We start from the raw sequence: 25,725 nt of genomic DNA on the forward strand, positions 1-25,725 counted from the left end.
TTGAATAGAGTTTGAACAGTTGATTGCTTTTTTTTTTTTTTTTTTTTTAGAGAGAATCTCGCTTTGTTGCCCAGGCTGGAGTGCAGTGGCGTCTTCTCGGCTCACTGCAGCCTCAGCCTCCCCAGTTCAAGCAATTCTGCCTCAGCTTCCTGAGTAGCTGGGATTATAGGCATGTGCCACCACACTCAGCTAATTTTTGTATTTTTAGTAGAGATGGGGTTTCGCCGTGTTGGCCAGGCTGGTCCTGAACTCCTGACCTCAGGTGATCCTCCCACCTCGGCTCCCAAAGTCCTGGGATTACAGGCATGAGCCACTACGCCTGGTGAGTTGACTGCTTTTGAGTGGCGGAAATCAGCGATTGGCACAAGAGTAGATTACAGTCTGTTCACACATCCAGTTAGGTTACAGTTCATACAGCTCACTATGTATGGAGAAACTTTAGGCTGAACTTAAAATATGCAAGGAGGCAGCTTTAGGCTGGACTTAATTTAACAATATGCCGTCCACTGTTGTGCTGCTACAAACAACAGAGTTATGTGGCCTGCAAATCCTAAAATATTTACTACCTGACCTTTTATAGAAAAAGATTGCTAACCCCTGTTTTACGACATTCCCCTGAATCCTTAGTTTAAGCATTAGGATGCTTAGCTTAAGCATTCTACTCTTAGGAGAGGCAATCTGTGCTCAGTCAATACCAAACCCTGTGATTGACTCTACAATCAAAGCACATCAGCAGAGCATTTAACACAGACTCTCCCACACCCCCACAGTGAGATGGGACTCCACTACCTCACTCAATCCTTATACCAATAAACAAAACTATTAACTATGATTATAGAGGCCTAATATAAAAGATAATTGGGCAAACCCCGAACACAAGCAGGAACTTGATTCTTTTATCCTCTAACCTGAGTTCAATGCTGAGAATTTAGTGTTATCTTAAAAGTCAGAATGGCTTAAAAGCACAGGCATAAAAAAGCATATAGACTTTTCTTTGCATTTGTTTCTTTTTGTCCAGAGGTTCCCACCTCCAGCTGCACAATAGAATCACATGGAGAGCTTTTAAAACTTACTAATGCTTGAGCTCCACCTGCTCTCCCAAGTCCTGATTAAATGGGTCTGGGCACTGTTTAAAAGCTTCCCGGCTCTGCATGGTGGCTCACGCCTGTAATCCCAGCACCTCGGGAGGCCGAGGTGGGTGGATCACGAGGTCAAGAGATTGAGACCATCCTGGCCAACATGGTGAAACCCCGTCTCTACTAAAAAATACAAAAAATTAGCTGGGCGTGATGGCGGTCGCCTGTAGTCCCAGCTACTCGGGAGGCTGAGGCAGGAGAATAACTTGAACCCGGGAGGTGGAGCTTGCAGTGAGCCGAGATTGCGCCACTGCACTCCAGCCTGGCGACTGAGCGAGACTCCGTCTCAAAAAAAAAAAAAAAAATGCTTCCCGGGTGAGTCTGTTATGTGGCCGTGGTGGAGAGCCAACTTGGTCCTCAAACTTAATGTGCACATTAGAATTATTGCTCAGGATCATATCCATAAAGCTCTGAGTACTATACTTCGTGAGGGCTCTTTAGGGGATTTGCGATGATAATTTTATTTTTTTATTTTTATTTTTTTTACACACACAGAGTCTCGCTCTCACCCAGGCTGGATTGCCGAGGCACAATCATGGCTCACGGCAGCCTGGAACTCATGGGCTCAGGCAGCCCTTCTGCCTCAGCCTCCCAGCTAGTAGCTAGGACTACAGGCACACACCACCATGCCCAGCTAATTTTTTAAATTTTTTGTAGAGACAGGGTCTTGCCATGTTGTCCAGGCTGTTCTTGAACTCCTGGCCTCAAGTGATCCTCCTGCCTCTTCCTCCCAAACCGCTAGGATTATGGGTGTGAGACACCATACCCAGCCATAATTTTAACCTATATTACATTTTCACCTTAAAATACTATTAGGCCCAGGAGATCAAGGCTGCAGTGAGCTATGATCACACCACTGCTCTCCAGCCTGGGTAACAGAGCAAGACCCTGTCTCAAAAAAAAGAAAAAGTAATGCTATTAGAAAAAATTAACTGAGAGGCCATTAGTCTGAGACAGCTCCAGTGTTGTGGGGTCCTAGGCGAGCAAACTGAAATCAGTTAAGAGTAACTTAACTGCAAACCAAAAATGAAATCCTAAGCTCCCAATCTACTGAACGAATCCCTTCTTGGCCAAGGGGACCCCAGAGAAACCTGAAAAACTGAATTCCGGCCATGATGGGAAGGAGGTTCAGACATACCTCCTTCTTATACCCCCTCCCTCTTGGAGTTTAGGCACAGCTGACCAGCATTAACATTAAAACAAAGATCGTAAGACCGACAAAACAGACTCTTCGTGGCAATCAGATACCAAATTCCAACTTGACTCTAGTAGAACATCACTCAACAGACAGCAGACCCTGAGGGAAATCAAAATATTTTACTCCCAAATATAATTCTTTTTTTTTCGTTTTTGAAATGGAATCTCACTCTGTCGCCTAGGCTGGAGTGCAGTGGTGCAATCTCTGCTCACTGCAACCCCCACCTGCTGAGTCCAAGCGATTCTCCTGGCTTAGCCTCCTGAGTAGCTGGGATTACAAGCACATACCACCGCAACCAGCTAATTTTTGTACTTATAGTGTAGACGGGGTTTTGTCATGTTGGCCAGGCTGGTCTCTAACTCCTGGCCTCAGCCTACCTGCCTCGGCCTCCTAAAGTGCTGGGACTACATGCACGAGCCACCACGCCTGGCCTGCAACTTTTCAGCCTCTTTTCTGTGAATAAATAAATAAATAAGTAAATTTAACTAACATGCTATTTCTTTTTGCACCTGTAGTCCCAGCTACTTTGGGGGCTGAAGTAGGAAGATCTCTTGAGCCCAGGAGGTGGAGGCTGCAGTGAGCCATGACTGTGCCACTGCACTCCACCCTGGGTGAAAGAATGAGACCTTGTCTCAAAAATAATAATAATAATAGGCCAGGCACAGTGGCTCACACCTGTAATCCCAGCACTTTGGAAGTCCAAGGCAGTCAGATCATCTGAGGTCAGGAGTTTGAGACCTGCCTGGCCAACACTGCAAAACACCATCTTTACTAAAAAAAATACAAAAATTAGCCAGACATGGTGGTGCCACCTGTAATCCCAGCTACTTGGGAGGCTGAGGCAGGAGGATTGCTTGAACCCAGGAAGCGGAGGCTGCAGTGAGCTGAGATCAAGCCACTGCACTCCAGCCTGGGCGACAGAGCAAGACTCCGTCAAAAATAAAAAATAAAAAAATAATAATAATAAATTTAATAATAATAATTTTGAAAAGGAAGATTCACAGCAAACCATGTGAAGGGGCCTAGTTTACCTGAGCTGGCTGACAAGAAAATCTGCTCTGTTTTAATCCAATAAGGAAAGTCACTTTGAAACAACCCACCTGCTTTTTGTTCCCTGTTTCTGTTTTCTTCAGCTCTTTTCTACTGATTCATAAATCGCTGTCCGCTCAGATAAACTCTTCAAAATTACCTCTGTTTTTCTTTAATGTGCCTTGGTTTATGTTTTAACAGTGCGAACTTCAGAGCCCAAACCCTGACATAAGATGTGGCTCCTCTAAGATTAGCTCCATCGCGACAAGACTGTCCAGGTTTCTACAGAGTGTCTTGGAAACCACAGAAGTAGTACAAGGCCAATCCCTTAAGGGCAGAGCCTGGGGTGGGAGTGTGTGCATGACTGTGTATGTGCCGAGGGTGTGGGAGTAGTTAGCTGGCAAAGACAACCAAGATACTCACTGCCGCAGACATCTCCTGCCTGGAAGAGTTCTGTGGTGAGTAGAACTAACCCGTAGTAAGAGAATGCATTGGAAAACCTGCCAGGAGAAAGCAAGAAAGGTAAAGAAATGATCAGAGGAACACCAGTCCCCTTTCCCTACCCCCTTGGGAAGGGCCAATGTCTACAGCAGCAGGGACCAGTCTTTGGGCTTCACTGGGATTTTGGGGGCTTTACTGGGGACCTTGAGCAAGAAGATGGTAGGTAAAAAAGCATCACGATATGATCAAAGGGAAGTGATCCTGTGTCCTTTGAAAGACCAAGAACTGTCAGAGGTGTTTGAACCAGAGCACCTCCATCTTGAATAGGGGTTGGGTAAATGAAGGCTGAGACCTACTGGGCTGCATTCCCAGATGGTTACGCATTTTAAGTCACAGGATAAGATAGGAGGTCGGCCAAGATACAGATCATAAAGACCTTGCTGATAAAGCAGGTTGCAGTAAAGAAGCCAGCTATGAATCCACCAAAACCAAGATGGCGATGAGAGTGACCTCTGGTCATCCTCACTGCTACACTCCCACCAGTGCCGTTACAGTTTACAAATGCCATGGCAACTTCAGGAAGTTACCCTATATGGTCTAAAAAGGGAAGGCATGAATAATCCACCTCTTGTTTAGCACATCACCAAGAAATAACCATAAAAATGGGCAACCAGGAGCCCTTGGGGCTGCTCTGCCTATGGAGCAGCCATTCTTTTATTCCTTTACTTTCTTAATAAAGTTGCTTTCACATTACTCTATAGACTGGTCTTGAATTATTTCTTGCATGAAATCCAAAAACCCTCTCTTGGGGTCTGAATCAGGACACCTTTCTGGTAACAGAACTATGCTATACAAGAGACACAACACCTCCAAGGCTGTCTACCCAACTGGCAATAGGGGAAAAATGGGACCAACCTCTGGAAGAAAACAGCCCCATTAATATCTTTTAGGGCTCTGGGTCAATTGCGTCAACTTGGACATGTGATTTTCGAATTTCAGAGCAGAATGACACCGTTTATTAATTCCTGGCTGACCCAGAAATTAGAATACTCAAGTTTGCAAGACCGGAACCTTCTCATCCAGTAGAATAGTTATATGAAAACTCAGTCATAATCAGAAGCCAGTGATTCATTTCCTTAGGTTTCAATGTGTGCAAGCAAATGTAGTGGCTTTCATAATGCACTAAAATTAGTCTCTAATTAATTGCTTCAGTATTCAAGGAGCGTTGGCCCAACCAAATTACATGTGCTCAAAGGTGGGTATTCTCAACTCTGATGCCCCACCATCCTTTTAAAAAATTCTGCAGGCTCACTGAGTTAATTGAGCTCTTAGGAATTCGGGGCAGAGCTAGAGTCCGTTCTGTATATTATCAAAGCTTTTTTCTCCTCTTCCCTGTAATTGACCACCTTGGGGACACTTCCCTGTTAATTAGCACCTTTGCTAAATGGTGAATAGAAAAATGAGAACTGGTTAAAATAGAACATAAAGCCTTAAGCCAGGCCAATTTTGTTCACTATTAATGCTGTGTACATGAATTGGTGCAAAGAGACTTGAAAGATGACTGCAGCTCCAATTCATTGTGGAGTTTAAGGTGATTACACTCTCCAAATACCACCCCCAACCCACACCTTCTGTCTCCACTCCCTTCCATGGGTATTATTTAAGAAAAAGTCCAACAGGATCAGAACTGGAACTTAAAAGGATGCCCATGTTGACCAAATCAGTGGTTCCCAAAATACGTGCCACATGCCACCCCTGTGGTACCCAAGGGGCAATGTGGGCTACAGGGAAGACACTGACATAGTATAAATACACACACACACACACACACACACACACACATGTATTTTTGAGACAGAGTCTCACTCTGTTGCCCAGGCTGGAGTGCAGGGGAGCAATGTCGGCTCACTGCAGCTTCTGTCTCCCGGGTTCAAGTGGTTCTCATCCCCCAGCCTCCCAAGTAGCTGGGACTACAGGTGCCCACCACCATGCCTGGCTAATTTTTGTATTTTAGTAGAGATAGGATTATGCCATGTTGGCCAGGCTGATCTCGAACTCCTGACCTCAGGTGATCCACCTGCCTCAGCCTCCCACAGTGCTGGGATTACAGGCATGAGACACCACACCAGCCCATATAGCAGAAATATTTAATCGTATTGTGAAAGAAAAATTACTTTTTAAGTTTACTTTCAATCCTTTCAATCCTTTTAAATTATATCCCAGTCTCACTTATGTGCTAATGAGTCCTTAACACCTCCCCTCTCCCATCTCTTTTTGTTTTGAGACAGGGTCTCACTCTGTTGCCCAGGCTGGAGTACAGTGGCATGATCACAGCTCATTGCAGCCTCAACCTCCTGGGCTCAAGTGATCCTCCCACCTCAGCCTCCTGAGTAGCTGGGACCACAGGTGCATGCCTCCACACCCAGCTAATTTAAACATTTTTTGTAGAGACAGGGTTTTACCGTGTTGCCCAGCCTGGTCTCAAACTGCTGGCCTCGAGAGATATTCCCACCTTGACCTTACCAAAGTGTTGGGATTATGGGCATGAGCCACCATGCCCAGCCAGCCTTCTTATCTCTTAAATACAGAGGCTCACTGCCTCTGCAAACCTCCGTCTAGTTACTTTTGCTGATATTTCTCTTTAAGAGTGCCTTCTATCTGTGACTTGCAATTAAGGTGTTTTCTTTTAAAGTAGAGTTATAAGCCTGGTTCAGCGGCTTACAACTGTAATCCCAGAATTTGGGGAGGCTGAGGAGGGAGGATTGCTTGAGTTCAGGAGTTCAAGGCTGCAGTAAGCTAGGAGAGCGCCACTGCACTCCAGCCTGCACGGTGATTAAAAGCAGTCAAGTTAAAGAAAAAGATGAAGGAAATGATAGTACGTACAGATGATAACCTGGATATGACGGAAATCAGGAGGATGATGTTCGAACTACTGAAATTTGCAAACGCTGCCTGAAATCAAAGTGCTATCTGTCCATTGCATTAAAACAAAACCCAAAACAGGGCACAGGGAGTGGAAAGGGGTCAAAGTGGTCAACAAACAGCTCTTACCATATAAACCACAGCAGCAAAGTTGTCCATCTAAAATGGGGTGTGAAAAGGTCCCTCATTTTGCCTCGGTCTTCCTGTTTCAAAACAAGGACATAGTGTTTATTCTCTCCCCTACAGATGCACGGGAGATGGGCTGGTGGCCTGAGACTAGTGCACACCAGGCTGGGAGGAAGGTTTCTAGTAAGTAGGACACTGGAGCTCTGAGAACCCAGGTCTCAAATCTACAGGACGCAGCCTCCCAGCCCCTCCAGCCAGAACCCAGCCATGTCCAGGGGCATGATCCCCACAGGATGGATCTCACGCCCTCCAACCTGGAAACCTGGACTTGGGAAGCAGATCCCTCCTTCCTGGCCCCTCAGACCTCAGCACAGATCCAAGGACACAGCAAGCAGAAAACCAGTCCAAAGCATGTCCAGCCATTTCACACACACACATGTGCCTTCCCCAGTTCTAGGTCTAGGTGGCAACAGTTAATGTGCTGAGAAACTAATTCACCAAAGGCCAATTTACCAAAAGATTGATTAGCTAAATGACCGATTGGCCAATTTTACATAATTCACAAATTTATCAAACTTTGCTTTACGATGTTCTTTAAAAAATATATGCTATGGCCAGGTGTGGTGGTTCGTGCCTGTAATCCCAGCACTTTGGGAGGCCGGGGCAGGTTGATCACTTGAAGCCAGGAGTTCGAGACCAGCCTGGCTTTCCCTCATCCATGGAAGGGATCTCTCCCCAAAGGCAACCAAATAGGCTTCTGCACCTCTTGAGGAATCCATCCTGCTCTGCCCCTGTAGATTTGGGGCAGGTCCCCTGGACTCTATGTTGTCAGACCAAACACCTCCTTCCAACTTGGTGAAATGCCATTCAGTTCTTCTTGCATAATATAAAAAGAATCAGAAATATAACTTTATTTTAAAAGGTAATTTCTTTATAGGATCTGATGTCTGCTTAAGGTATTTGTCATGTTTCTTCAATCGGCTTGGATGGTTCTTGAGGGCAGGGACTGCAGCCTTAAATCCGAATCTTTTCTCCCCATGTGTGCAATGCTGGTGCCTACATATACTAGGTGCTCATTAAGTTTCACCGTGGTGGACTCCCTGATGGTGTTACCAGCGGAGTGAGGCACCATTCATTAAGAACACCTACACAGGGTGCGGTTTGATCCCCTAGATCTAAGCACACTCCTTCCTGATATGGTTTTATTGCACAGCTTTTGCCAATCAGTCTCATTCGCTAGTCAGACTTCATCTGTGCTGAAAGGCGAAACCAAAGCAGGAGCAGTTACAGGACCCATTAGCAGAGGTTACTTTTCTCTAATCACTGGTGAAATTCTCCAGGAAGCATTTTTAGAACTTGGAAGTGAAAATACAGATTGGAGTTGCCAAATTACCCTTGCAGGTCCTGTCTACTGGGCCCTCATCTGCTCCATGTGCACGCACACACCCCACCTTGGGTACACATACCCACATGTGTCCTCGCATGCATGCCCTACTCCATATGCACACACTCCCCTGCATGCACCCCGATACGCACATTGCAGAGTCTATTGGTCCAGGCACTGACCTGTCTGGAGATGATGAGTTTCCCCAGCGGCATGGGAGCTCCGTTTTCAGTTGCTATCCTCTTTAAGGTGGCGATTGCCTTTTCCTGGTTCCCTGACAGCACATCATACCTTGCACTTTCAGGCAGCCACTGGGATGGGGGAGACAGGAAACCCAGGCGTGGCTGGTTAGGGTGGAACAGAGCACTCGCTTCTAGCCACACAGTGTTGCATGTGGGGTCTTTAAGAGTGGGGGCTCTGGAGCCAGAGAGCTGACTTCAAATCCTGGCCCCACCATTTATTATGTTGGTTGTGTGACCCTGTACAATTACTTGACTTCTCTGTGCTTTCATTTCCTTCTCCATAAAATGTGAATGATAAGAGATCCTACCTCTTAGGGCTCTTAAGAGGATTAAACAGGATAATACAGGCAAGGTGCCTAGTGCAGTGCCTGGTATGGGTTAATGCAGTTATTATTATTGTCACGGTTGCTATTACTATTATTTGGGGCTGTTTTCAGAGTTCCAGGTGAGGGCTGAATTAAATTAAGATCACTGTCAGAAATCTCACCCCCATTGTTCAAGGAATTACACCTCACCTGTATTCAGCATCATCTTGCAAACTCAGTTCAAGAGAAAGAAAGAAATCAGAAAGATTTTTAGGCCAATGGAAGTCCCAACCCCAAATGACTACATACATACATTTCTGTAAAAATGGAGCAACAGCTGTTTGAAACAGCAGGTATACTGGAGAAAAGACTAGGAGTTAGAAGATCTGATTTAGAGTTCTTTTGTCTACTTGCTGTAGGCCCTTTAACAAGTCAATTAGCCCCTCTGGGCTTCAGTTTTCTCATCAATAAAAAGAGGATATAGCAGAGAGTGCAAATGCCCACCAACATTCTGTTTCCTTTTTCATAGCGCAAAGTTGTCCTTAGATGTGGCTGCCCAGACAGGGACTACATTTCCCAGCTCCCTTTGCATCTAGGTGGGACCAAGTGACTTGTGTTCACCAATGGCATATGAGCAGACTATTCCTGGCCAAGGTATTTAAGAAGTGACTGTGCAGTCTCCACTTGCCTTTTGCAAGTCTGTTGTCTGTATGTAGAAGACTTCAAAGCCCTAGAGGATGGCAGAGCCACCAGCTGGACAAAAACTGGGCCCAGAATTCCACTTGCCAACCAGAAAAGTCATTCTGAACTATTGTGTTAGTGAGAGAGAAGCTCCTATCGTGCTGTTACTGAACTTGTGGGCTTTATTTGTTTCAGCAGCTGGTATCACCCTGACTAATATAGGGGTTCATTATAGTCCTGTGATTATTGGGAGGAATAAATATGATAATGCATGGAGCACAGAGCCTGCCACACAGTTAAGCTTAATAATTATTAATACTTATTATCATTACCAGGAATTTTTGTGGTATTTACCGTACATGAGAACTACCCATCTCTAGGCTTATTTTAGTGCCTACTGGCTGTAAAGTGTTTCAAGCATGTGCCCATGAAATGATGAGTATGTGGCAAGATCTCAGTAGAGGGTGTGGTTTATGCACAGATGAGATGAAGAGATCATTTAAACTCCTGGAGCCAGCCATGCCTGAAGTCTGACTTAATCCTCTGAAATGTATTTATCCCTCTCTTTTACTCAAGCCAGTTTGAATTGGGTTTCTGTCATTTGAAACTTAAGAGTCTCAACTAGTGCAATACAATCACTTTAAGTGTAGATTTTGCAATGATGGGGCCAATGTATCCTCCCATCCCCAGTTATCTCCCCAGAAAACATCCCAGAAGTGTCTGTCTGGAGGAAATCTAACACTCCATACTGGGGCTACCCCAGGCCATAGCTCCCTTGTCTCATTTCCTGATTTAAAAAAAATAATCTTGAAAGGTGGCTTTGGTATCCTTCCCTATCCCCTCCCCACCAAAATAGAGTGGACAGTAAGATGTCAGACAGCAAAAGGTGAAATCTCTTAAAGGATACCTACGAAACACAGCACGGCAAAGAGGAGGAGCGGGACAGCTGAGAGGATGAGCAGCCAACGCCAGCCCAGGCTGGGCATCACGAACACAGCCAGGACGACCTCGAACACTGTCCCGATGGCCCAGAATACCTGGCACAGGAGAATCAGGGTCAGTGGTGGGGGTAGCATGGTCCATACAGAGAGGAATTATGGGGGCATTGTGGACAAGGGTATCTCTGTGGGTAAGGGGTCATCGGAGTCAGTAAGGTTAGAATAGCCACACTTTCCCTGTGGTCTATATGGTTGGGCCAGGGCTGCCATGTTGCCCAGCTCACAAGGGTACCATTATACACTGTATAATATTTGCATGGCACCTGCTGGAGCTGAGCAATGTGGCAGCTTTGGTTAAGGAGATCAATGTGACCAATATTACGTGATGTCAAATTGGTAGTGAACACACTGGTTCTCTCTCTGTCTCTCTGTCTTTTTGTCTTGCTCTGTCACCCAGGCTGGAGTACAGTGTCCCGATCATGGCTCACTGTAGCCTTAACCTCCCAGGCTCAAGCAATCCTCCCACCTCAGCCTCCTGAGTGGCTGGAACTACAGGCACATGCCACCATGCCTGGCTAATTTCTTTTGTATTTTTAGTAGAGACAGGGTTTCACTATGTTTCCCAGGCCTCCTGGGCTCCTCGGCCTCCCAAAGCGCTGGGATTACAGGCATGAGCCACCAGACCCAGCCTCAAATTTTTTATTGTGGTAAAATACACATAACAAAATTTACCATCTTAATCATTTTTAAGTGTACAGTTCAGTGGTATTAAATACATTCACAATATTGCACAAACATCACCACTCCCCTTCTCCAGAACTCAATTTGCAAACGTGAAAGTCTGTGCCCATTTTTTTTTTTCTTTTTTTGAGACAGAGTCTTGCTCTGTCGCCCAGGCTGGAGTATAGTGGCGCAATCTTGGCTCACTGCAACCTCTGCCTTGCAGGTTCAAGCGATTCTCCTGCCTCAGCCTCCCGAGTAGCTGGGATTACAGGCGCCCCCCTCAACCACACCCAGCTAATTTTTGTATTTTTAGTAGAGACGGGGTTTCACCATGTTGGCCAGGGTGGTCTTGAACTCCTGACCTCATGGGATCCACCCCCCTCGGCCTCCCAAAGTGCTGGGATTACAGGCATGAGCCACCACGCCCGGCAAGAAATTCTGTACCATTAAGCAATAACTCTCCATTCCCCTCCATCCCCAGCCCCTTGGCAACCACTATTCTACTTTTCGTCTCTATGAATTTGATTACTCTAGGTACCTCATATAAGTGGAATCATACAGTATTTGTCTTTTTGTGACTGGCTTATTTCCCTGAGCATAATGTCCTCAAGATTCATCTGCATTGTACCATATGTCAGAATGTCCTTCCTTTTTAAGGCTGAATAATATTCCAATGAATGTATAGACCACAGCTTGTTTGTCCACGCATGTGTTGACAGACACTCGGGTTGCTTCCATGTCTTAGCTAGTGTGAATAACACGGCTATAAACGTGGTTGTACAAAATGGACACATTGATTTTGCTCACTGACATCCATCTCCCTTGCCCAATGGTGCCCCAGAATTCCTCATCAGAATTGCCACTTCTCGATGGGGCTGAATATCTTCAATTTGCCTGTCCAAGTCACTCTCCATCCTTTTCCACTTTTGTATGGGTTCCATCAACAGGCTCCCTGTCCTAGCGCTTCCCACTGGGTGCAGCCAATGTGGAGCCCTGCAGGAGATGGAAGCGGAGGGAGGAAAAAGAGACTGAAGCACTTACTCCCCTGGCTCCCTCCCTGCAGAGCAGTCGTGGCTGGCTGCATCTGTCAGCTGAGGGTCCTAGCTCCTGTCCAGCAGCCTTCATCATACAACTCTCTGGGCAGCTCATTAATCCCTCTCTTTGCCCCTTCTGGCCTGGGGTGGTAACACCCTGGCAGGGACTTTATAAATAGTCCATTATTTATTTATTTGTTTGTTGTTGTTGTTTTGAGACGGAGTCTCACTCTGTTGCCCAGGCTGGAGTTCAGTGGTGCAATCTCGGCTCAGTGCAACCTCTGCCTCCCAGGCTCAAGCAATTATCGTGCCTCAGCCTCCTGAGTAGCTGGGATTACAGGTGTGTGCCACCACACCTGGTTAATTTTTTTTGTTGAGATGGAGTTTTGCCATGTTGGCTACGCTGTTCTCAAACTCCTGACCTCAAGCAATCTGCCCACCTTGGCCTCTCAAAGTGCTGGGATTATAGGTGTGAGCCACTGTGCCCGGCCAATAGTCCCTTTATTAAACCATCTGCAGTGATCCTAATTTTAGAAGCTGTTTCCTACTGGGACCCTGACTCTACAACTACAGTCCATTCCAAAACCTGGCCCTCCAGCCTCCCTATTTGTTCTGGAGCCCCCAAGAACCTTCCAAAGTCCCCTTTTGCTTAAGTGAATCACAGTCGATTTCTGTTGCTGGCAATCAGAAGTGACAGAAAAATGTCTAACAACAAGTAATGCACTGATTAATAAGAATGGACACCAGTAGCCGGGCGCAGTGGCTCACACCTGTAATCCCAGCACTTTGGGAGGCCGAGGTGGGTGGCTCATGAGGTCAGGAGTTCAAGATCAGCCTGGCCAAGATGGTAAAACTTGTCTCTACTAAAAATACAAAAAAAAATTAGCCAGGCGTGGTGGTGGGCACCTGTAATCCCAGCTACTCAGGAGGCCGAGGCAGAGAATTGCTTAAACCTGGGAGGCGGAGGATGCAGAGAGCCAAGATCGCGCCACTGCACTCCAGCCTGGGCAACAGAGAGAAACTCTGTCTCACAAAAAAAAAAAAAAAGAATGGACACCAGTTATACAGGCCCATACCACCTGCACTGGGCCAAGATTTAACTCTTTAGTTGCTGAATCCTGGGAAGCCCTGAGAGAGGACAGAGTGTCAGGCAAGGGAATGAAGGGCAGTCAGAGTTCAAGATCAGCTGGTCTAGATACATTTCCTTTTCTTCTTCTCCTTCTTCTTCTTCTTCTCTTTCTCCTCCTCCTCCTGCTCCTCCTCCTCCTCCTCCTCCTTCTTCTCCCTTCCTCTTCTTCCTCTTCCTCTTCTTCTTCTTCTTTCTTTTTTTTTGAGACAGAGTCTTGCTCTGTCGCCTAGGCTGGAGTACAGTGGCACGATCTCAGCTCACTGCAACTTCCACCTCCTGGGTTCAAGCAATTCTCCTGCCTCAGCCTCCCAACTAGCTGGTATTACAGCCCACCACCACACCTGACTAACTTTTTGTATTTTTTGGTAGAGATGGGGTTTCACCGTGTTGGCCAGGCTGGTCGAGAACCCCTGACCTCAGGTGATCCAAACGCCCCGGCCTCCCAAAGTACGGGATTATGGGCATGAGCCACTGCGCCTGGCCTTTTTTTTTTTTTTAATAGATGGGGTCTTGCTCTGCCACTCAGGCTGGAGTGCAGTGATGTGATCACAGCTCACTGCAGCCTCAAACTCCTGGCCTCAAGTGATCCTCTTGCCTTGGCCTCCCAAAGTCCCAGATGCATTTCAATATTTAAACAATGGATTCATCCACATCAGTGTGGATCAGTGGAGCATCACCCTAATTGGTAAGAAGCAGATGTAGTCAGAATGTTGGGCTGTGGGATCAATGCGATTAACATTGTCAGTGTGGTTAAAATGATTGGGGACATCAGAGTGGGTTCATAGTCATCACTGTTGGAATCAATGTCCAGCATGAGCAAATAAACCATTCTGCCACTGTGTGGAGGGGGCCATTGGGCAGCTGCATGAAGTGGGGAGTCATGGAGCCATTGTATTTGCTCTGAGATCTTTCAGACCATGGTTAGAAAATGGGTCACAAGACCCTGGAAGAAAAACTTGACAGGAACTAGCTGGACCACGAAAGTTTTAAGGCAGCCTATAGGCCACAGAAATGGTCAAGAATGGAAATTCTTGACCAAAAAGACAGGTGGTGGGTGATGATATGAGTGTGGGCCAGAGTTCGGTCTACTCACACCACACCATTCAACACCAGCTCTCAGATACAAGCTATTTCCCGTTCAAGAAAAACATACCCTTCCATACCCTTGCCGACACTTCTTTTTTTGAGGGACGATAGATTGAATGTTTTTGTCAATTGAAGAATTTGTCCTTATTGCAAAACGGGCATGTCAGAAATGATGTAACTGATCCTTTTACGTCTTTGCATATTGAGTCTGTAATGTTTTTTTCTTAAACTCCCTTTTCCTTGACCTGTGGTTCAAGACATCTGAGAACCTCCTGCCGGAATCCACATGCTCTAGAGACCCAGGCCGCTCTCCTCCTTACCTCAATCAGCAAAATACATTTAGCTCTGGCTTTCATGGGAAGGAACTCGGCATACAGCGTCACCCTGGGAATGTAAAAGGGAAAGAAAGGGAGTTAAGATCAGAACTGGGTGGGAAAATGGCTACCGTTTTCTGAATTTGCAGCCGACATTCCTCCAAGGGTGGTCAGTGAACCACTTACATCAGAATTTCCTGAGATGATGTTGGTTAAATATACAGATCTCTAGCTCCCTCCCTTCCTAGACCTTCAGAAACAGACTCCAAGGGATGAGGCCCTGGCATCTGCATTTTTATTTTATTGTATTTATTTATTTATTTATGAGTCTCAGTCTGTCACCCAGGCTGAAGTGCAATCATAGCTCACTGCACAACCTTGAACTCCTGGGCTCAAGTGATCCTCCTGCCTCAGCCTCCAGAGTAGCTAAGACTACAGGCATGCACCACCACTCCTGGCTAATTATTATTATTATGATTTGTAGAGATGTATGTGACCCAGGCTGGTCTCGAACTCCTGGCCTCAAGCGATCCTCCCACCTCAGCCTCCAAAAGCACTGGGAATACAGATGTGAGGCACCATGCCCGGCCTCACCTGCATTTTTAACTCCCCAAGTGATTCTCAAATTTCCTAACTGCTGCCATTGAGCCCTACCCATAATCCAATAAGTCCAGGGAAAAATGTTTTCTTGGCAGGAACACCTCAACCTGAGCCCTTCTCAGCACACAATGTCAATCTGTCCCATCACTGGTGACATTAATTTTCATCACCTGATCAAGCTGGTGATGGAGATTACCAGCTTGGTAATCTGGTCTAACAGATTTCTCCACCCTAAGTTATAATTTTCCATTTGTGATTAAGAATATTTCCCCTTTGTGGGGAAGTATTCAGATTATGCCAATATCCTGTTCCCCATAGAACCTCTACCCACCAGCTTTTAGCCATTGACTATCTCTATCTAAGTCATCTACCACTGTGATGGTAACAAATGGTTGTTTTTGTTTGTTTTGTTTTTTGAGACAGGGTGTCACCCTATCCCCAGGCTTGAGTGCATGGTGTGATCATGGCTCACTGCAGCTTCAACCTTCCAGGCTCAAGCCATCCTCTTACCAGCCTCCAAGACTACAAGTGCTAGGATTATAGGCACACACCACCACGCCTGGCCAATTTTTTTTTTTTTAATTGTGGAGATGAGGTCTCACTATGTTGTTCATGCTGGTCTCAAACTCCTGGGCTCAAGCAATCCTCCTGCCTTGACTTCCCAAAGCGCTAGGATTACAGGCATGAGCCACTGTGCCTAGCCCCGCAAATGGTATTTTTTATTTTTATCATTCCTTCTATATTTATTAGTTGACATTCAACTGTAAGAAAGAGATTTTCCTTCTTCCCCTCATCGTATCTGTCTATCCATTTAATCAGTATAGACTTGTGGAGTCCTATTTATACAATGGGTCGAAGCCTGTTACTATTTTGATGCTTAGAAGAGCTTTTTCCTCCTCCCCTTTGTCTATCTTATCTTCTATCTATCTATCTATCCATTTAATCAATAAGGACTGGAGGATTCCAATTTTATTCCATGAGTTGCAACCTGTTTTTATTATTATTATTATTATTATTATTATTATTATTATTATTATTTTGAGACAGGGTCTTACTCTGTCGCTCAGGCTGGAGTGCAGTGGCATAATCTTGGCTCACTGAAACCTCCACCTCCCGGGTTCAAGCAATTCTCCCACCTCAGCCTCCTGAGTAGCTGAGATTACAGTTGCCTGCCACCATGCCTGGTTAATTTTTGTATTTTTTGGTAGAGACGGGGTTTCACCATGTTGCCCAGGCTGGTCTCAAATTCCTGACCTCAAGTGATCTGCCTGCCTCAGCCTCCTAAAGTCCTGGAATTACAGGTGTGAGCCACCATGCCCGGCCTGCAACCTGTTATTATTTTGATGCTCAGACTGTCCCAGATCTGCCCAGTGGGAGCCCCTTCAAGCTGATTCCTATTGTCTTTTTGGCATGCCTCCATCATTCCTTGAGGTCTTCCCTATTTTCTAGCACAAGATATTCAGCTCATCTTATAGTTCCCTTGCCCCAGCCCTGGAGTCTGTCATCACCTTTCTAAGAAGCCCTGGTTCCCTTTGGCAGAAGATGGTATTTAGAAACCAAGATCTCTGTGCTCAGTGTGCTCATTGCTCCTGGGGTGTCACTGCTGCTGGGCCTCTTGGTGGACACAGCTAAGAGATTATCTGTCTGTCTATCTATCTATCTCTATCTTACTTCTCTCCCTCTCTCTTCACACACTCACCATATCTATATCTATCTGTGTATATTTATTTAAAAACGAGTTCATACTGATACATTCCATTTCAGTTCATCACCTTAGGGTTCATTCTAAACTTCCCCACTTCCATGTTGCAATTCCCTTCTCCAATAATGGGAAATTTGGTCTCATTATCCTCAATATGGCTATGTCTTTGCTCAATTTACTTGTTTGCTTAATGTAACCAGCATCCCAACTGCACTGGCTGCCTCTGTCTGCTGCTTCCACACTTTCCTCCTTTTCACTTCCTCAGACTTGGGGCATGCTGGACAGGGAAGGGAACTTTTAAACCAGGCCCTGCTCCCACCTATCCCATGTTGCCTTCAATTTTGCTAGAAAGAGGAGGCCTTCTTTTCTCTCATATCTCCCACCTAAGGCAGGCATCTGAGCTACTAAATGGCCTCATGTTACTCTCCTAGCTCCTCTTAAGGGGTGGGGGTTGGGGGATAAAGGGAAGTTAATTTCCTTTAACCCTGTGAAGGCAGATGGTGCTGGGGACACATTTAGATCTCCTAGGATCCCTTTACTAGGTCTGTGTGCCCACCTTGCACTTCTGCTAATGGCTCATACCTGCAACCTTCTCTTAGGGATACTCTTGAGCAACTGAAGCTGCATCACCCCAGAGGTACCTAGGAGTTATGCCCATCTCCCCAGGGCAGGCTGCAGACTGGCATGTACGTGTATAAAAGGCCCATCCCCTGGCATTGGGGGAGGGGTGGGGGTCAGATCCTGTGGAGCAATGAACACTCCCTTAGCTCCCTGTGTGCTCAGGTGAGTCCAGAAGAAACCACATCCTTGTGAACTTCTTCCCTGTATCTTTCTCTTAGCATCTTTCACTCTTACAGCTTCCTCCCAAGAGCACTCTCAATAAATCACTTATAGAGGAATCTCTGCCCCCAGTTCTGTCTGCTTCTATGCAACCCAATCAATGGGTTTCCTTACAGAGCATTTCACTTTTCAAAAGGGGGCCTCAGCAATACCACTGAGATTTAGACAAAGTTCTATCATCAGTAAAAGTCCTACCACCATTTTCATATCTACATCTATCAACAACAGAGAAGTTGTTACTTGACCAGGATTGCACAGCTAGTAAGTTAGTAAGCAGAAGAGCCAACATTTTAAACTAGGTTTGTCTATATCATGCAGCCCATGAATCACTTCCCTGTTGGGACAGTTTCACAGTTATAAACAACACTTCCTTAAACATCTTTAGGCTGAAGTCTTTGTCTTCACATTGTTTCCTTAGGACAGATCCCCCTAAGTAGAATTTGAGTCAGAGGGTATGCCTGTTTTTATGATTTGAGATATATATATACTACCAAAGTGGTTCTCCAAAAAGTTGTTCCAATTTATATTCCTTTCAGTACCTCACTCAACAAAAACCATGGGGAATTTCATAACTAAACCCTGATAATAGAAACCAAGATTATAGTGGTTGCTAAAGATTGCAACAATTATCATGGATGACTTTTATATTTTATTCTGTTTTCCGAATGGTATGCTTATATTATTTTTAAAAATCAATAATAATACCATGTTTACCTTTCCTTTACCAAATCGAAGTCAAACTACTAATCATGCAAAAATGTGCAGCAGGATATTCTAAGGGCAAAGCTATTTCTGTCCTTAGAGATCGAGGATTTGTTTTTATAACAAACCTATAACGTATATCATGAAGTCTTTTCATTCTGTTTTTTTGTTTAGTTATAGAGTATTATATGAATGCAATCTCATTGTAAAATAATTTAGCAATACATAAGCATGCAGAGTATATGATGATTCTTCCTCTCCCTATGACCCCAACTCCCATTCCTCTCCCCCAAAGCCATAACTACTAATCAGAGTTTGCTTTGCAATCTTTCAGCTTTTTTTTTGCCCACACAGAGTCTCACTCTCTCATCCAGGCTGGAGTGCAGTGGTGCGATCTCAGGCTCACTGCAACCTCTGCCTCCCAGGTTCAAGTGATTCTCCTGCCTCAGCCCAAGTAGCTGGGATTACAGGTGCATGCCACAATGCCCAGCTAATTTTTTTGTATTTTTAATAGAGATGGGGTTTCGCCATGTTGGCCAGGCTGGTCTCGAACTCCTGACCTCAAGTGATCCACCCACCTCAGCCTCCCAAAGTGCTGGGATTACAGGCATGAGCTACTGTGCCTGGCCTGCAATCTTTCAGCCTCTTTTCTATGAAAAAAATAAATACATAAATTTAACTAACATGCTATTTCTTTCTTTTTCCCTTCTCTTTCCTTCCCTCTCTCCTACCTTTTCCTCCCTCCCTTACTTCTTTCCTTCTTTTTTTTTTTCTTAACATACACAGCACACTGTCAGCGTTCCACCCAAACATCCCCATTCTTAGCATGTCCACGCATGCCAGTCCACCTTCTAACTGCCAGTACCTGTGACCCTTTCCAGAGAACTTTCTCTGGTCAGTAAAGCTTGGCTGGCCAGCCTTTGTGGCAGGCCAGAAGTGCCGAAGAATTTAAACTTCCCGGGAGTAGCCCTCACTGGACAGTTCCCTCATCCTTGAAGTGGGACCATTTGGAGGACCTGCGGCTGAGTCTCCCAGAGGAAACTTCTTGCTCTTAAATTTCTGTGTTAGGTTCCGCTTCAGTAAGACAATATGGAAATCTTTTCATGTTAATAGAGGTAGATCTACAGCTTTATTTATTTTTGAGACAGGGTTTTGTTCTGTCACCCAGGCTGGAGTGTAATGGTGCAATCATAGCTCACTGCAGCCTTGAGCTCCTGGGCTCAAAGATTCTCCTGCCTCAGGCTCCCAAGTAGCTGGGATGACAGGCATGCACCAACATGCCCAGCTAATTTTTCTTTTTCTTTCTTTTTTTTTTTTTTGTAGACATGGAGTCTCACTATTTTGTCCAGGCTGGTCTCACACTCCTGGGCTCAAGCAATCCTCCTGCATTTGCCTCCCAAAGTGCTGGAACTACAGGCATGAGCCACCATGCCTGGCCAAGAATTACTCTTTTTTTCTTTTGAGACAGCGTCTCATTCTGTCACCCAGGCTGGAGTGCAGTGGCACGATAATGGCTTACTGCAGCCTTGACCTCCTGGGGTAGATGATCCTCCCACCTCAGCGTCCTGAGTAGCTGGGACTACAGGTGTGCACCACCACACTTGGCTAATTTTTGTATTTTTTGTAGAGACAAGGTTTCACCATGTTGCCCAGGCTGGTCTTGAATGCCTGAGTCAAGCGATCCACCTGCTTCAGCTTCCTTCTGAAGTGCTGGGATTGCAGGCATGAGCCACCATGCCCAGCTGAGCATTATTCTTAGCAGCTGCATAGTCTTCCTCACCTCGGTAGTATCATCATTTATTTAACTGCCCCCTAATTATGAATGCTTAGGTTGTGTTCAATTTCTTGCTTTTGCCACCTGTGCCACAAGAAACATCTTTTCCTATAATTGTTGTGCCCCATATTTGGCCATTATTTACAGCAGTTCATTATGAAAGCAAGCTACTTGATCTTTATCCAAAGTATGGCAATTATTATAATCAGACTGAAAAATAAAAGAATGAGCAATGAAATTAGCAATGCCAAGAATCAGCTGATTCTGGCATAAATAAATTCCCACTGCAAATAATCACATTTACAGCACTGGGCAATTAGAGGCTTGCCATTTGGATCACGTGTTTGGAAAGCAAGAACCTGTGATCTCAGCCTGGCATTTTTGCCTGGTCTTTGGAGGAACGAGGACAGGCTTTGTGTATAAGCTCATTGTAGACACCAATTTGAAGATCATTCTGAGGCAGGTTTCAAGGTAGAACAGCTGGGCAGCTACCTGAGGTACTGTCTTTAAGAGCAGCTAAAACACAAGTAGGGCGTGGGTTACCTTACTCCAGGTTTCCCACCGCAGCCGCTTACATAAATGGTGTTTGGCTGCGGTGCATGGCGCCCTCTACTGGAGGTAAAAAACACATGGGCCCAGTGCCAACCTGTATTGATGTTTTCGTGGAGAGACACGGGGCAATAACAGGTGATTATCATTTGTTATTTGTTGGTGCTTATTTGCATTTCCTAAATTTGGTAAAACAAAAGTATATTGTCTCTAATGACAAAAATAAAATTGTATTTAATTCCCTTGCTTGAATTAAAGTCTATTCCTTCTTGATGTCCCTCCGTAGAGAGAAAGTGTAATTAATCTGGGATTCTACATGTGATTCCTCTTATCTGCCTTAAAGGGTCTAGAAAACTGTTAAGAACCACCAGCCTACACTCCAGAGTCATTCTCCAAGTCAGTACCAGAAACGCCGTGGATATAAATGATTTAACAGGACCTTCTGACTATATATGCCTGAAACCCCTTTGAAATTGTTGTTCAACATGGTAAGGGCTTTGGCACCAGACACACCTGGATTTGAACCCAGTTGCAACTGGTTTGCCAAAGTTGCTCCAATATTTTCCGTCCCGGTATCTATGCACCTTTGCAGTATGACTGCAGCACATCCCATCAAGAGTTCATTTTCCCCTCCTGGGGATCTGTGTGGCCTTGTGACTTGCTTTGACCACCAGAATGTAGCAGAAATGATGTTATGCTAGTTCCAAGTATAGGCCTCAAGAAGGTTTGTGGCTTCTTCTTGCTGCCTTTGACCCCTGTTCAGATGCCATGGGACCAGGTGCCTGGGTGCCCCATGATTCAGTGGACTGAAGACACATGAGCAAGTCCCATGGAGTCTAGAGGAGCCACCAAACTGCCTCACTGCAGAATCATGAGTTGAATTAATCATTGTTTTAAACCATGAATGCAAAGGTGGTTTGTTACAAAGTAGAAGCAAACCCTACATTCCACTTTTTTTTCTTTTCTCTTTTTTTTTTTTTTTTTTTTTTGAGTCAGAGTCTCACTCTGTTCCCCAGGCTGGAGTGTAGTGGTACGATCTTGGCTCACCGCAACCTCTAACCCCCAGGTTCAAGTGATTCTCCTGCCTCAGCCTCCCAAGTAGCTAGGATTACAGGTGTGCACCACCACGCCTGGCTAATTTTTATATTTTTTAGTAGAGATGGGGTTTTGCCATGTTGTACAGGCTGGTCTCAAACTCCTGGCCTCAAGTGATCCACCTGCCTCAGCCTCCCAAAGTGCTGGAATTACAGGCATAAGCAACTGTGCCCAGGCCCCCTACACTACACTTAATAACTATCTGGCCAGGCACGGTGGCTCACACCTGTAATCCCAACACTTTGGGAGGCCAAGATGGGAGGATCACTTGAGTTCAAGAACAGCCTGGGTAACACAGTGAGACCGCCCACCCTGTGCCCTGCAGCCCATCTCAACAAAAAATTTTAAAAATTAGCTGGGCGTGGTGGCACACATCTGTACTCCTAGCTACTCCAGAGGCTGTGGTGGGAGGATCCCTTGAGACTGGAAGTTTGAGGCTGCAGGGAGGTATGATCGTGTTGCTGTACTCCAGCCTTGGCAACAGAGCGAAATCCGGTTTCAAAAATAATAATAATAACTATCTGACCTCCAGCAAGTCCCTTGTGAGTTCTAAGCCTCAGTTTTCACATCTGTCATACGGGGATAAAACAGTTGTTCAATGGACCAAGTAAGTTAGTCTGAGCAGAACATTTAGCAAAGTGCCCAGCACTTGGTAAGCTCCATTATTATATCTACTTTGGGGAAAGAAAGAAAAGAATGAGGAAGGGAGGAGAGAAGGAGGGTTGTAGAAAAGCACAGATCAGCGTAGAGGAATGGGCTCCTTAATGATCTAATTGACTTTTTTTTTTTTTTTTCTTTTTTTTTTTTGAGACAGAGTTTCACTCTTGTTGGCCAGGCTGGAGTGCAATGGCATGAACTCGGCTCACTGCAACCTCCACCTCCTGGGTTCAAGCGATTCTCCTGCCTCAGCCTCCCAAGTAGCTGGGATTACAGGCATGTGCCACCACGCCCAACTAATTTTGTATTTATAGTAGAGGCAGGGTTTCTCCATGTTGGTCAGGCTGGTCTCAAACTCCCGACCTCGGGTGATCTGCCCGCCTCAGCCTCCCAAAGTGCTTGGATTACAGGCGTGATCACCACGCCCGGCCCTAATTGACATTTATACTTAAAATTCAGAGTACATTACAAGGACTTCTGGTTGTTGAGCTTTTAAGAATTATACAGCAAAATCTTTTTCATCTGGTTTTATGAGTTGCTGCAATAGGATAAAGCTATTGTAAATTAATGGAAACTTTTAATTGCATTTAATCACATCAAAATATCTCCAACTAAATGTTTCTAAATAATGAACTTAAGGGAGCCATTTTTATAACTAGATAGGAACATTGTATAATTTAAGACATTATTTTTATGTAAGTGGATAGAGTTACAGTGGTGGGAAGCCAGTGGCTCTCTTGGGTGGCTAAATATTTCTTCTGCAATTTTGTTTCTAGTTTTTATTTGCCCTCCTCACAGATAAAACAGATATTTAGGCTGGGCGTGGTGGCTGATGCCTGTAATCCCAGCACTTTGGGAGGCTGAGGCAGGCGAATCGCTTGAGGTCAGGAGTTCGAGACCAGCCTGGTCAACATGGTGAAACCCCGTCTCTATTAAAAATACAAAAATTAGCCGGGTGTGGTGGCTTGCTCCCATAATCCCAGCTACTCGGGAAGCTGAGGTGGGAGGATCGCTTGAACCCAGGAGGTGGAGGTTGCAGTGAGCCGAGATATCACACCACTGCACTCCAGCCTGGGTGACAGAGTAAGAATCTGTCTCAAAAAAAAAAAAAAAAAAAAAAGCTATTTAGTGGAGTAGTTCAGATAATAGGTTTGGAGGGTCAAGTGATGTTTAGACATCAGCTCTGCCATTTACTAGCTATGTGACCTTGGGCATGCTACTTAGTTTCTACAAAGCTCCAGCTTTTGTACCTGTAAAATGGAGATGATCATAATATCTACATCCTAAGATGAGCGTTAAAGTGGTAATACACGTAAAGCACAAGGCTCAGTGTCTGGAATGTAATGATAGCTCAATAAACACATGGAAGGGCTACAGTAGTGTTCAATACATGAATAACTAAATGGGGAAGAAGTAGGGAGCAGGCAGGCAAGCTGGGGACCCTTAAGATAAGCATGAGATAAGGGGGAAAGGCCCTCCTAGCTCCTCTATGTCCTTTATTTTATTCCCCTGGTGTCCTGTGCCATAATCCCAGAACCCCATGGGAAGAATCTCTCGTCCTCTTTGTAGTCCCGCCCCTTTGCTGTTTTGGGGTGTGATTTTCTCTGTTCCAGCTACTCCACCCTTGCAATCGCATCTGCTTATAGGCTTCCGGAGGCTTCTCAAAATTCTGATCCACTGATGGCACCATTTTCTTGCTCTCCAGTACTCTTAAGTATTTATTCTATTTCTTAGCTGGGCGCCATGATGCATGCCTGTAATCCCAGCACTTTGGAAGGCCAAGGTAGGCAGATCGCTTGAGGCCAGGTATTCAAGACCAGCCCAGGCAATACAGTTAGACCCCGATCTCTACCAAAAAATAGAAAAAATTAGCTGAGCATGGTGGTGTGTGCCTGGAAGGCTGAGGCAGAAGGATCACTTGAGCCTGGGAGTTCGAGGCTGCAGTGAGCCATGATTTTGCCACTGTACTCCAGCCTGGGTAACAGAGCGAGACCCTGTCTCTCACAAAAAGAAAAGATTTATTCTATTTCTTACTACTTCTATGTCATTTCCAGGAAATGTGGAAGAAGAAGAAATAGAAAATGTCACTTCTCATTCTACCATCTTGAACAAGAATTTCTGTGGACATTCTGAATATTTAAATCCTTTATCTTTCCTTATATGAGAAGAAAATCCAGTGACTGTTTGAAGTCTATTTCTACAGGCATCTCTCTGAGCATCCCTGGTAAGGGAATTTGATTTGCTCTTCTGTGAGTACATTCCTTCCAGCCACGAGGGGAAAACGGTATCGTCCTCAATGAACTCATCATATTCATGAATAGGGCAGTAGTTGTGTCTGCAGGAATTCCTGGAGCTGGGCCAGAAGTGGAGCACATTGTCCACAAGTCCCTGCCAGCCCAGATTTATGGCTGCGGCTCCATTAATAGCCTTTCCTTCAAGCTCCAGTGGTTTGTAAGCTCATCCCAGATCCAGAAGTGTATGTCAAATGCCTACTCTACAGAGCCCTGGAGGAATTAATCATGAATCAAGGAGGGAAGGACTGAGGAGAGCTGAGAGCCACTCACCATCCTTCCAGCCTCCCAAGTGGCAGGAGGAGGCTGGGAGTTTGCTCATGTGTCAAATCCATGTGGTCATATCTCCCCTGTCCCTGTTCTATCTACAGTGATACCTTGAGTCATTCATCCGTCATCCATCATACATCACAATGACGCTTGAGCTTCTTGCCAAAGCCTTCAGCAGATCAAATGCTTGTTAATAAATCTTGAGTGCTCTGCCAGGCACTGTCCTGGGCATTTTACAGAATGTTGTCATTTAATGACTATTTTAAGGGACCCCATGAGGTGGGGATGTTGTTGTTCCATTTTAGAGATGAGAAAACAGATGCAGGAAGGTTCAGTGACTTGCCTGAGGTCATACAGCTATTATGTGACAGAGCAGCCAGGATTCAAACCCAAGCCGTCTGGTTTCAGAGCCCATGATCTATTTTAGAATTAGCATTATGCTGGCTGGGCGCAGTGGCTCACGCCTGTAATCCCAGCACTTTGGGAGGCTGAGGTGGGTGGATCACGAGGTCAGGAGATCGAGACCATCCTGGCCAACATGGTGAAACCCCGTCTCT

The 25,725-nt window shown here is 45.4% G+C and overlaps 1 protein-coding gene across 1 annotated transcript in view; it reads right to left on the reverse strand.

Annotated features, from left to right (window-relative positions):
- Positions 1 to 25,725, reverse strand: part of SVOP (SV2 related protein) — a 113,328-nt gene that overhangs the window by 22,668 nt on the left and 64,935 nt on the right. Inside the window, exons 7-11 of the mRNA NM_018711.5 lie at positions 14,695 to 14,758; positions 10,376 to 10,501; positions 8,419 to 8,547; positions 6,856 to 6,929; positions 3,787 to 3,863 (exon numbers count right to left, since the gene is read on the reverse strand). Of these exons, the coding sequence (NP_061181.1) occupies positions 3,787 to 3,863; positions 6,856 to 6,929; positions 8,419 to 8,547; positions 10,376 to 10,501; positions 14,695 to 14,758 (470 nt within the window). The remainder of the gene's footprint in view (positions 1 to 3,786; positions 3,864 to 6,855; positions 6,930 to 8,418; positions 8,548 to 10,375; positions 10,502 to 14,694; positions 14,759 to 25,725) is intronic.

Source organism: Homo sapiens, chromosome 12, assembly GCF_000001405.40.
Source record: "Homo sapiens chromosome 12, GRCh38.p14 Primary Assembly".
NCBI classification, from domain to species: Eukaryota; Metazoa; Chordata; class Mammalia; order Primates; family Hominidae; genus Homo; species Homo sapiens.